This window comes from Homo sapiens, chromosome 20, assembly GCF_000001405.40.
Source record: "Homo sapiens chromosome 20, GRCh38.p14 Primary Assembly".
Lineage (NCBI taxonomy): Eukaryota > Metazoa > Chordata > Mammalia > Primates > Hominidae > Homo > Homo sapiens.
Genome location: NC_000020.11, coordinates 38,862,753 through 38,874,843, shown reverse-complemented (window position 1 = coordinate 38,874,843; position 12,091 = coordinate 38,862,753). Strand labels below are relative to the sequence as shown.

Here is a 12,091-nt window from a genome sequence, read left to right as displayed (position 1 = left end):
ATTAACTTGCCCCAATCTACTCAGCTGGTAAGAGGCTCCAATACCCCCACACTTGACCCATGCTTGCTCCACCATGAGAATGTATGAGAGAGCCAAACTTGACCCCAGGTTTTAAGAGTTGGGGATCTGCATGCAGCCCAAAGCCTTCCTGTTTCCTCTTCTGCCAGCAAGCCTAGTGCCAGGCTCTGAGCCCAAGGGATGAAAGGGCCAGTCTGACCTTTGCTCCAACCACTTCCACCCTGGAGAGAAGCCATCAAAGCACACTGTTGGGGAATATGCAGTCTACCTAAGCATTGCACCTGGTATGAAGACACACGTGTAGTGGTTCAGAATTCAGACCCCACCATTTCCCAGTGGTTTGATCTCAGATGTGTCATCTCCTCTATCTGAGCCTCAGTTTCCCCATCTGTAGAATGGGGACTATAATCTCATAAGGTTGTCTGAGAATTAGATTATAAAGTGCTGACCATAGTGTCTGGAATGAGTAAAGTGTTTAGCTACTAGCTGGCTCTCCCCTACCCCACCTCCTGGCTCCAGCAGGCACCCCTCAGGAATGTAGGGCCCAGTCTTCAAGCTCCAAGACAACAAATAGCAGCACCAGATACAGTTATCTTTGGAGATCTGTGGACTGACTACAAGATAAGGCCAAAGGGCAGTTTGGGCATTGTGGTCAGTCTCCAAGATGCCACCCAAGTACCCCAGCCTCCTAGGATTCACCTTCTTGTCCAGTTCCCTCCCCCAGTGAACAGGGCTAATGTGTCACCAATAGGATGGAGTGTGCCTTGTGAGTCTGGGTCATAAAAGATGTTTCAGCTGGCCAGGCACGGTGGCTCATGCCTGTAATCCCAGAACTTTGGGAGGCCGAGGCGGGCAGATAACCTGAGGTTAGGAGTTTGAGACCATCCTGGCCAACATGGTGAAACCCTGTCTCTACTAAAAATACAAAAATTAGCCGAGTGTGGTGGCACATGCCTGTAATCCCAGCTACCTGGGAGGCTGAGGTAGGAGAATCGGTTGAACCCAGGAGGCAGAGGTTGCAGTGAGCTGAGATCACGCCAGCCTGGGCAACAGAGTGAGACTCCATCTCAAAAAAAAAAAAACAAAAAAAAGATGTTTCAGCTTCTGTCTTGCCCCTTGGATCACCTGTTCTGGGAAAGCCAGCTGTCATAGTGTGGACTTAGCAGTCCTGTGAAAAGACCACCAGTGAGGGAGTGAGGCCTCCTGCCAACAGCGTGTGAGCGCCATCTTAGAATCAGATCCCCTAACCCAGTCAGGCCTTGGCCCACATATTGACGACAGCCTCCTGAGAGACCCTGAGCCCAAACCACCCAGCGACCCCGGGTTCCTGACTCACAGAAACTGTGAGAACACAGACATCTGTTGTTACTTTCACTTAACACCTTTTGGGGTGATTTGTTACGCAGCATACATAATGAGTGCCCCCAGAGAAGAGGCTCAACAGGAGGAAGTGGTCTCAAACCTGAAGGCATCACGCTGAGCTGGGCACCACGAGAACCGAAGAGCCCAGGCCTCCCAGACGTCTCAGAACCCAACCTCCCCCTCACCCACAGCCAGTCAAGTTTCCGTTAACCAGGGAAATTCTTTGCTGAACCCCACAGCTGACTAAGGGTTTCTATTTCCACCCACAGTGCAGAGAACCGTCCACATTTGTCACTCATCACCCAGGTCTGTTTCTTGTTCTGGGAGCACAGCCCAGGCTTCCCCACCGTGTGAGGATGGAACTGGGTCCTGACGCACCCTCCTGAGCTAAGGGTGCCACTGCCCTGGCAGGAGAGGTGGGACGGAGGTGGAAACCCCTGTCCTCAGCAGCCATGCACAGTTTTCTGATCAGCAGGGGAGTTTTGACCTGCTCTGTTTCCGACCTGGGCCACTTCATCCCTCCTTAGGCACCCTGATGGTCCTCCGCTCCCGGGAGGTCACCATATTAATGCCAAACTTAGTGCCGACACCCGATCAGCATAGCGCACTACAGCCCAGATCTCCCAGACCCAAGTGATCCTCCTGCTTCAGCCTACCGAGTAGCTGGGACTACGGGCATGCGCCACCGTGCCGCACACCCACAGTTTTCTAAATCACAAACCTAAGTGCTCCCCTCTCTCCTTCTCAGAAACCTCTCCTGGCTCCTCTCTGCCTTCACAGGGTTCGTGGTCTAGCCCAGTGGTTCTCAGTGATCCCTGGACCAGCAGCAGCAGCAGCACCTGGGAATTTGCTGGCAATGCAAATCCGGTGGCCCTACCCCAGCCCTGCTGGATCAGGAACCCTGCAGGAGGGGGGTGTCTAACAATCTACGCTTTAACAAACCCTGCCAGTGATTCCAGTGCACTGTCAAGTTTGAGAATGGTGTCTCCAGCTTCCTCTCTAACCAGTCTTCTCTGCCTCCTGCGCTCTAGAAATGCCCAACTCCTCTCTCCCTCCTTTCCCGCTCCGCAAATGTTCGCCAGGCACCAACTCTGCACCAGGTGCAGGGCTACAGCAGTGAACCAGACAGACGCCAGTCTGCCCTCTCAGAGCTTGCAATCTGCTTCCCTAGTCTGGAATGCCCTTCCCTCCTTCCTCCAAGCAGAGTCTCTGCCCAGCCGTCACACCCAGTGCAGGAGGCATTCAATAAACATTAGGTGAACAGTAAGTGAGCAAATGATTAAATGACTGAAGGCACCACCCGGTGAAGTCTTCCTTGACTCTGACTTAAGTGCCCTCAGCAGGCTCTGTGCACCTCAGTCAGAGTGCCTGCCACCCTCCACGGTGTCCAGGGCTGGGGAGCACTTGAAATGTGCATAATCCAGATTGAGACGTGCTAGGGGTGACCTTGAAGATTTAGTGTGAAAAAGATATGTAACATACCCATTAATATTTTTATACTAAATACATATTGAAATAATGTTGAGTTAAATAATTATTCAAATTAATTTCACCTGTTCCTTGCCTGCTTTACTGGAACTATTAGAACATTTAAAATTACATATGTGGCTTACATTATTTTTCCATTGATCAGAGCTGAGCTAGATTGTAAATACTTAGTTACATTACCATGGGCACACCTGCACCCACAGTCACATGACGATGAGCTCTGTGAGGGTATCTCTGCCCATTTATCTTCCCTCCGTCCCTCCCTCTGTTCCTTCCCCTTTCTTTCCCTCCCTCCCTCCTTCCTTCCCTCCCTCCCTCCCTTCCCCTTTCTTTGCCTCCCTCCTTCCTTCCTTCCCTCCCTCCTTCCTTCCCTCCCTCCCTCCCTCCCTTCGTTCCTCTCTTCCTTACTCTCTACCTCCCTACACTCCTCCTTCTCAATCCTTCCCTTTCATCCCCCTTCTCTCTCCTTCTTCCCACAGACATTGATTGAACATCTGTTCTTGTATCCCTCCATGAAGCTTGGCACAAAGCAGGTGTCCACAATGTTTGCTGAATGAATAAACCAATCCTCAGAATGCATACTGGCCCAGAGGTGACCCTGAGGGCATTTGCCTCCTATTGAATTCCCCATACCTGCTTGTTTGAGTGCAGGTTTCCCATTTCATTTCAAAAGGAGCCAAATTCCAAAGATGTTCTTATGTAACATGGGGCTGGGGTCAGTTTTCTTCTTGCATACGGGGTTCATGTGCGCTCAGGTACTGGGGCCAGGACTCTGTGTACAGGACACCTTGTTCTCAAAGCTCCAGGAGGTTGGCCAGGGCGTGGGCTTGAGCTTGCGGCTTTAGGGTCAAGCTCTCTAGTGAGAGGAGGGCACCAGGCTGAGCTATGTGCTGCCTCACCCACACCTCCGAGGTCCTGGGATGATGAGGGTACACACGGGTCAGGGAGATGCAGGCATCCGAGCCCTGTTTAAAGGTGCAGCTGCGGTAAACTGGGGCCCAGGTGTGAATCACTGCAGGACTGCAGTAAACTGGGGACTGGGTGTGAATCACTGCAGGAATTACATGCCTGCTTCCTGATAAGTCTCCGTCACAGCTGCCACTAACCACGCCCCAACCCTCCAGCCCTCCAGTTTGAGAGGCTGCAAGACACTAGAATGAGCCACAATATCCCAGCCGAGCTGCCTCTTGGAGCTGAGAACGCAGCAAGGAAATTGGCCCAGAGTCTGGCCCTTCATGTCTCCGGTCCTGCTTGCAGCTAAGACAAAGTTGTGGCCCCTACAGTATGGGCCATCAGCCAGCAGGAGCATCCCTGTCCCTTCCCTTCCCACTGTTTCACACCTTCCTAACTTTGCACTGAACCACCAGAGGCTTTCACTGCCCCAGGGCCCCTGCTTGTGCTATTTTGTTCTGCCTAGAACACTCTCCTCTAGCCCAGCCTCCCCATCCTTCTGCATGGCTGGCTCAGTTCTCATCCTTCAGGTCTCTTAAGTGTCACCTCCTCAGAGGGACCCACCTGACTGGCCTTCCTATACACACACTGTCCCTCTGTTCCCTATCAAAGCACCTTGCTTACTCCTTCACAGCATTTAGTCAGACTTTTAAATGGTAGGTTATGTGTATGTGGACTTGTAGTTTCCCCCTATAGTTTATAAACCCTACAAGGACAGGGACCTTTTCTATTTACTTATAAATGAGTCCTGGCACACCACAGGTGCTCAATAAATTTTTGCTCTGCAGGCCGGGCGTGGTTGCTCACACCTGTAATCCCAGCACTTTGGGAGGCCAAGGCGGGTGGATCACTTGAGGTGAATCACTTGAGGTCAGGAATTCAAGACCAGCCTGGCCAACATGGTGAGACCCCATCTCTACTAAAAATACAAAAATTAGTCAGGCATGTTGGTGGGCACCTGTAATCCCAGCTACTCAGGAGGCTGAGGAAGGAGAATTGCTTGAACCCAGGAGGTGGAGGTTGCAGTGAGCTGGGATCGCGTCACTGTGTTCCAGCCTGGGCGACAGAGAGAGACCGTGTCTTAAAAAAAAAAAAAAATAAATAAATAAAATTTTTGCTCTGCAGTGAAGGCAGGCAGACAGGTCCATCTTTATGTGGCAGCGGGATGGGGGTGGGGCAGGGATTTGCAGGGGAGGGGGTTAATGAACTGCCACTTTTGCCTTAAGGAATCCTATCTTCCCCTTTAATATATTCCATAGGCCAGGACATGACTTTCCAGGCCCTCAAACCACACATCTAAAAAATCTTCGCATATAAGTTGAGCAAATGAAGGCTCACACAGGGTCCATACTATGTGATTCCACTTGCATGACTTTCCAGAAAAAGCAAACTAACAATATACTTCACACCCACTAAAATGACTATAATTTCTTTAAAAACAGACAATAACAAGTGTTGATAAGCATGTGGAGAAACTGGAACCCTTGTACACTGCTGGTGAGGATATAAAATGGTGCGTAGCTACTGTGGAAAACAGTTTGGCAGTTCTCCAAAAAGTTAAAAATAGGCCAGGCGCGGTGGCTCACGCCTGTAATCCCAACACTTTGGGAGGCTGAGGTGGGTGGATCACCTGAGGTCAGGAGTTCGAGACCAGTTTGACCAACATGGTGAGATTCCATCTCTACTAAAAATACAAAAATTAGCTGGGCATGGTGGTGCACGCCTGTAATTCCAGCTACTCGGGAGGCTGAGGCACGAGAATCACTTGAACCCAGGAGGTGGAGGTTGCAGTGAGCCAAGATCGTGCCACCCGCATTCAGCCTGGGTGACACGTCAAGACTGTCTCAAAAATAAATAAATAAAAAAAAATAAAATGGCTAATTTTTTATGTGCATATCACCTCAAAAAAAAGACAAAAAGGAAAAAAATAGCCTTTAGTGGGGAAAAAAACCATCAGAACAATAGCTGCCTGGAAGAGCGTAGGGGATTGACTGGGAAGGGACACAGGGGAACTTTTTGGACTGATGGCAGTGTCCTAGAGAAATATAACATAGGCCACATATGTGATTTGAAATGTTTTGTTAACAACATTTAAAAAATAAAAACAGGTGATATTTTAATGATATATTTTACCTAATCCATATGTCCAAAATATTATAATTTTATCATGTAACCAGTATTTCATAATTCTGCCTCTTGACTGCAGTGCTGGTCACACAAATCTGCTCCTGCCATCAAAGATTTCACAGAGCCAAACACACACATCCATACACAAATGAATGCATATAAAACTGGCAAAATCTGGATCCAATTGGTGAACCGTATCAATGTCAATTTACTGGTTGTGATAACATATATTAGTTTTGCAAAATGTTACCATTTGGGAGGCTGAGGCGGGAGGATCACTTGAGGCCAGGAGTTCAAGACCAGCCTGACCAACATAGTGAAACCCCGTCTGTACTAAAAACAAAAACTAGCCAGGCGAGGTGGCATGTGCCTGTAATCCCAGCTACTCAGGAGGCTGAGGCAGAAGAATCACTTGAACCCAGGAGACAGAGATTGCAGTGAGCTGAGATCACGCCACTGCACTCCAGCCTGGGTGACAGAGTGAGACCCTGTCTCCAAAAAAAAAAAAAACTTACCATTTGGGTAAACTGGGTGTAGAACAGAAGGGATCTCTCTGTATTTTTTTTAACTGCATGTAAATCTATAATTATCTCAAAGTAAAAAGGCATGAGCTTAGCTCACAGGGGTGGGCCATGGGGTCCTGAGGTGAAACGCAGGAGTGGTGTGGGCATGCAGTTGTTCAGAGGGACTGTGCCCGGCGTGTACACTGTGCTGAGCAAACCAGAGTGAGCCTTTGCTCTGTGGAGCTCACAGTGATGCACAGTAACAAGAAAGCCCTGAAATAGATGGAAAACAGCCCAGGGGAGGAGCAGTAAGAAAAGGCAACCCATGCTATGAGGGTGCATAGTGCCCAGGCACGGCCTCAGCACACTCACAGGACTGCAATTTTAGGGGGAAACACCAACTGATAGAATCAAAGAATCACGGCCAGGTGTGGTGGCTCACACCTGTAATCCTGGCACTTAGGGAGGCCAAGATGGGCGGATCACCTGAGGTCGGGAGTTTGAGGCCAGCCTGGCCAACATGATGAAACCCCGTCTCTACTAAAAATACAAAAATTAGCTGGGCGTGGTGGCGGGCGCCTGTAATCCCAGCTACTCGGGAGGCTGAGGTAGGAGAATTGCTTGAACCCAGGAGGCGGAGGTTGCAGTGAGCCAAGTTCACACCATGGCACTCCAGCCTGGGCAACAGAGCAAGACTCCATCTCGGGGGGAAAAAAAAGAATCAAAGAATCACAAGAGCTGACAGCTAACACATTTTGGAAATGCTAACACATTTTGGACAACTAACATATTTTGGAAATATTCCTCTGTGCCAGGCACTGTGCTAAAGCAAGGCTTCATTTAGCTCTGGTACAACCCTTTTAAGTAGGTAGTGTATTATTATTCTATTTAACCAAAAGAAAAACTGAGGCACAGAGAGATTGAATGGTTTGCCCAAGTTCACCCAATAGGCAACAGAGCTAGGATTTGAGCCCAGATGGTCTCGCTCCAGATCCCAGCATCTGAACCATGGACCCTGGTGACTCCTGAGTTGGACCACACAGGAAGCTCATCTGTCCCTGGTGGATCTTTAACTATCCCCATCCCCCAGAATCACTCCCCACCTCGTCCCCATCAGCACCAGGCTGATGTTTGGACATGAATGGCTGGTGAGATCAAGGAGCCAAGACCACAGTGCCCTTTGGGGACATCGCTTTAACCATCACTGCAGAGGTGGACCTTAGGGTGACTCCAGCCTGGGTGTGTGTGGTTGGCGGGGGACAGGGGGTCTATCCACACAATGTAACATGATCCAGATGTAAAAGGAATAATGTACTGACACATGCTACAGCGTGGATGAACCCGAAAAACATTACGCCAAGTGAAAGAAGCCAGACACGAAAAGTCACATATTATATGAAATATCCAGAACAGATAAATCCATAGAGACAGAAAGTAGATTAGCGGCTGCCAGGGGCTAGGGGGAAGAGGAAACTGGGGAGTGACTGCTAATGAGTCCAGGGTTTCCTTTTGGGACAATGAAAATGTTCTGGAACTAAGCAGAGGTGATGACTGTACAGCTTTGTGAAGGTACTTAAATGCCACTAAATTGTACACTTTTAAATGGTTAATTTTGTGTTTTGTGAGTTTTACCTCAATTTAAAAGAAAACACCAGTACTTTGCACACTGCAGGGTGCCTCTGCTCCACAGTGCAGATTCCTGACATCACCAGACAGAGGCTGAGCTCCAGGCCCAGGAGACCCACCCTCCATCCCAGGCCATCTCCTGCATGGCGGGCTGTATCCCCTCCATGGGAAAAAGATGTGCCTTGCCTCACACCCCAGACATCCATGGTGTGAGAAAAAGCAAGCAGGCCTTCTTTGGGTTCGTTTCTGAAGGGCTAGCCACAAGAGTGCTGGCGAGATAACAGGCAGCTGCTACGGGACGCTGACCATGTGTCAACGCACCTTCCGGGGCATTCTGTGTCATCCACATTGCAAAGGAGGCTGTTACTGTGCCCCATTCTACAGATGAGGGAAAGAGACTCAGAGAAATCAAGTCAGTTGCTGAAGGTCATGCAGCAAGTCTGGGGTAGAACCCAGAGGTGCCCCTTCTTCCCGCTGCACAGACACTCAGCCCACAGAGGACAGCACACCCGGGATTTAGGAGCTATTCTGTTCCCCAGGGGCCCATTGCCTAAGTGATTTTCCTTCCTCTGAAACCAGAAGCAGAAATCAAACCTCTCGAATTTTTATTATTTATTTATTTATTTTTAATTTTTTTTTTCTCCGAGACAAGAGTCTCACTCTGTCGCCCAGGCTGGAGTGCAGGGGCATGATCTCACCTTACTGCAACCTCTCCTTCCAGGGTTCAAGCAATTCTCCTGCCCCAGCCTCCTGAGTAGCTGGGATTACTGGCACACGCCACCATGTCTGGCTAATTTTTGTATTTTTAGTAGAGACAGGGTTTCACCATGTTGGCCAGGCTGGTCTCGAACTCCTGACCTCATGATCCGCCCAACTCGGCCTCTCAAAGTGCTGGAATTACAGGTGTGAGGCATCGCCCCTGGCCACTTTTCAACTTTTTAAAGCCAAGGTGATGAGTGGTGCCCTCAAAACAGAGGCAGGCTCTGCAGGGGCCGCTGGGATTACACCAGAAGCAGGAGACCCGGAGATAGGAATCCGGCCCTGCCACCTACTGCCATGGGAACATTCAGTAAGTGACAACCCCTCGGCACCTCTGTCTCCTCATCTGTGAAGTGGAGCCCACCTGTGCAGGACGTGAGTGGAAGGTGTACCAGGTGACGCATCTAAAGAATGCAGCAGGCCGGGCGCGGCGGCTCACGCCTGTAATCCCAGTGCTTTAGGAGGCCGAGGCAGGCGGATCACAAAGGTCAGGAGATCGAGACCATCCTGGCTAACACGGTGAAACCCCATTTCTACTAAAAATACAAAAAAATTAGCCGGCCGTGGTGGCGGGCACCTGTAGTCCCAGCTACTCGGAAGGCTGAGGCAGGAGAATGGCGTGAACCTGGGAGGCGGAGCTCGCAGTGAGCCGAGATCGCGCCACTGCACTCCAGCCTGGGCGACAGAGTGAGACTCCGTCTCAAAAAAAAAAAAGAAAAAAAAAGAATGCAGCAGTGTACATGGCACAGGGTAGGTGCCCTGTGCAAGTCAGAGGTCTGTGTGCCAGGACACTGACCAATGGGCCCAAGGAGGCAGAGTATGAAGAGTGAAGCCTCTATTTCTCCTTCCAGTTCCCTCAACCGGGGCCCCAGGATCATCTAACACTTGGGCCTGGACGTGGGTAGAATTTGCCTCATACTCCAAACCAGAAACTCGGGCCATTCTGAATTCCAGCCTGGCTAAGGGGACAGAGCCCAAGAGACAGATAGCCCCAGAGAACCAGGGCCGAGGCCACCGGCATGATTCCAGGCCAACCCAGCCCATTTAATGGTGTTTTCCCAGCCAGAAGGAGGCCATGCTAATTAAGTGGAAACCGGCAGTCTGCAAATCGATTTCTGCAGCTCCAGCTCCAGGAGGGGCCAGGCACTCTCAAACTGGGTCAGAGACATGTTAGTCCCACAGTGTCACCCAGAAACACCCACTTCTTGTCTGCCTCTCAGAGCCTGGCTCTCTGCTGGTACCTAGGCCCTACACCCTGTGCACCCAAGTCCTGGCAGATCCCTCTGTGAGAGGTGGGGGACTCCGGTGGTCTTTCTGGGTGAATGAGGTCCTGTGACTCCCTCTGTTATACATGAAGTCCGACCTCTGGTTGCAGTGGGGGGCAGCTTACGGTGGCGGTTCAGTTCTAAACCACCACTGCTTGAGTTCAAATTCCAGGTCTGCTAACTAGCTGTGTGACTGGCCATGTTACTTCACCTTTTCTGTGCTTCTGTTTCCACAACTGCAAAAATGGGGTGATAAAAGGACCTCCCAAAAGGTTGTTGTGAGAATGAAATGGGTGAATATTTAGGAAGCAATTTAAGCCAGTGGCACTAGCAAGTGCTAGTAAGTTTCTCTTCCTCTCCCTGACTTTTCATTTTTAAACGGCTTTATTGAGACATAATTCACATGCCATACAATTCTCCTATTAAAAATGTACATTTCAGTTTTTTAAAATTGTATTCAAAGTTGTACAATCATCACCACAATCAGTTTTAGAACATCTGAACACCCCAAAAAGAAACCCCATACCCATTAGCAGTCACTCCTCATTCCCCACCACACCCCGAGCCATAGGTAACTCCTAATCTACTTTCTGTCTCTATAGATTTGTCTATTCTGGACATTTCATACCAGTGGAGTTCTAGAACACGTGGCCTTTTGTGTCTGGCTTCTTTCACTTAACATAGTGTTTTCAAAGTTCATCCATGGTATAGCACGTGTCAGTCCTTCATTTCTTTTTATGGCAGAATGATATTCCATTGTATGGCTAGACTGCATTCCATGTATCCCCTCATCAGTTGATGGACATTTGGGTTGTTTCCACTTTGGGGTGATTGTGAGAAATGTGGCTATGAACATTTGTAGACAAGTGTTTATGTAGACTTATGTCATTTCTCTTGGGGGAATATATCTAGGAATAGCGCTGCTGGGCTTTTGTGCACGTTTTCATTAAACAGAAAACCTTCATCTCATCTGGGCCCCCCAGCAGAAAAGATGGGAATTAACCTCTATTGAGCACCTACTATATACCAGTCACTGTTCTAGGATGACATCCACAGGTTCATTTAATTCTCGCAATTCCCTTGAGGTGGGTGTTACTGTGACCGTCACTGTTCAGATGAAAAACCTGGGGTGCAGATAGGCAAAGCGACTGGCCCAGGATCACACAGCTGCTGTACAGAGGAGCCAGAACAGGAACCTGGAAAGGGCCTGGTCCTTCCCATCATCCATGCCAGAGTAAAAGGAGGCAGATGGTGTGGGCTCAGGCTACGGGGAGACAGACACGGAAACGTGGAAAGTTTTCATTTCCATTACCCCTCACTTTGGCCTAGTGGAGTGGTCCTGGGCTCTGCAGGGGCTCAGCCATGCAGGGAGTTAAACCTGTCAGCAGGGATCTTTGAGTCACAGAGGCATGACACCAGCCAAGTTCATGCTTCACAGACAGGAGGGGAAGTACGAGGTGCATCAGGTCTCTGCGGTCAGACCAGGGTTATCTGAGCCCCAGGAAGTTGCCTTCTGGGAACGTCCCCATTTCCACATTTTTTGTGTTTTGTGCTGTGGTTTGTAAGCACCAGAGGCAACTTGCATCCAGGGAGGCAGGCTGACTCCTGGGTGGTGGGCTTCCTAGAGTCACCATGGTTCAGAAGCTTCAGTTCTGGGCTGGGAGAGCCCACAAATGTTCTCTCTGCTTCATGACCCAGCACCACGATGGTCTCCAAGCACCAGGGAACTAAGTAGGGGGACCATTGTATCTACTGACCCTGAAGCCCACTCCTTCATATAGACCAGGATGTTCTCGTCCACCATTCACACACCCTCTTTCGAACATCAGAACACCCAGGAAGCTGAATTGGTGACAAGCAGTGGCTGGGTGAGCCAGGAAGCAGGGCAGAGATCAGACAGCCTCCAAAGGCCATAACTGATGGAATCTGGAGTGGGCAGGAGAGCAGGGAAGGAACCCAAGAGCTCCAAGATCTTGCTTTTGCACTCCCCAC

General features: G+C 49.8%; 1 protein-coding gene and 1 pseudogene across 2 annotated transcripts in view, besides 7 other annotated features; both read right to left on the bottom strand.

The window, feature by feature from the left end:
• PPP1R16B (protein phosphatase 1 regulatory subunit 16B) overlaps positions 1 to 12,091 on the bottom strand; it is a 117,328-nt gene that overhangs the window by 48,181 nt on the left and 57,056 nt on the right. The gene's annotated exons all lie outside the window — the stretch shown is intronic.
• Positions 1,237 to 1,556: an enhancer, noted in NCBI's record as "active region_17874". NCBI's record gives its function as "activates an Ori minimal core promoter by ATAC-STARR-seq in GM12878 lymphoblastoid cells {active_cell/tissue: GM12878}" and the evidence as "EXISTENCE:reporter gene assay evidence [ECO:0000049][PMID:35858748]".
• On the bottom strand, positions 1,770 to 2,074 carry RN7SL116P (RNA, 7SL, cytoplasmic 116, pseudogene; annotated as a pseudogene).
• Positions 3,505 to 3,594: an enhancer, noted in NCBI's record as "active region_17873". NCBI's record gives its function as "activates an Ori minimal core promoter by ATAC-STARR-seq in GM12878 lymphoblastoid cells {active_cell/tissue: GM12878}" and the evidence as "EXISTENCE:reporter gene assay evidence [ECO:0000049][PMID:35858748]".
• Positions 3,615 to 3,674: an enhancer, noted in NCBI's record as "active region_17872". NCBI's record gives its function as "activates an Ori minimal core promoter by ATAC-STARR-seq in GM12878 lymphoblastoid cells {active_cell/tissue: GM12878}" and the evidence as "EXISTENCE:reporter gene assay evidence [ECO:0000049][PMID:35858748]".
• Positions 3,803 to 4,373: an enhancer, noted in NCBI's record as "H3K4me1 hESC enhancer chr20:37499114-37499684 (GRCh37/hg19 assembly coordinates)". NCBI's record gives its function as "activates a minimal SCP1, AML or CMV promoter by ChIP-STARR-seq in primed H9 embryonic stem cells {active_cell/tissue: H9 hESC(primed)}" and the evidence as "EXISTENCE:reporter gene assay evidence [ECO:0000049][PMID:30033119]".
• Positions 8,084 to 8,153: an enhancer, noted in NCBI's record as "active region_17871". NCBI's record gives its function as "activates an Ori minimal core promoter by ATAC-STARR-seq in GM12878 lymphoblastoid cells {active_cell/tissue: GM12878}" and the evidence as "EXISTENCE:reporter gene assay evidence [ECO:0000049][PMID:35858748]".
• Positions 8,174 to 8,273: an enhancer, noted in NCBI's record as "active region_17870". NCBI's record gives its function as "activates an Ori minimal core promoter by ATAC-STARR-seq in GM12878 lymphoblastoid cells {active_cell/tissue: GM12878}" and the evidence as "EXISTENCE:reporter gene assay evidence [ECO:0000049][PMID:35858748]".
• Positions 11,391 to 11,530: an enhancer, noted in NCBI's record as "active region_17869". NCBI's record gives its function as "activates an Ori minimal core promoter by ATAC-STARR-seq in GM12878 lymphoblastoid cells {active_cell/tissue: GM12878}" and the evidence as "EXISTENCE:reporter gene assay evidence [ECO:0000049][PMID:35858748]".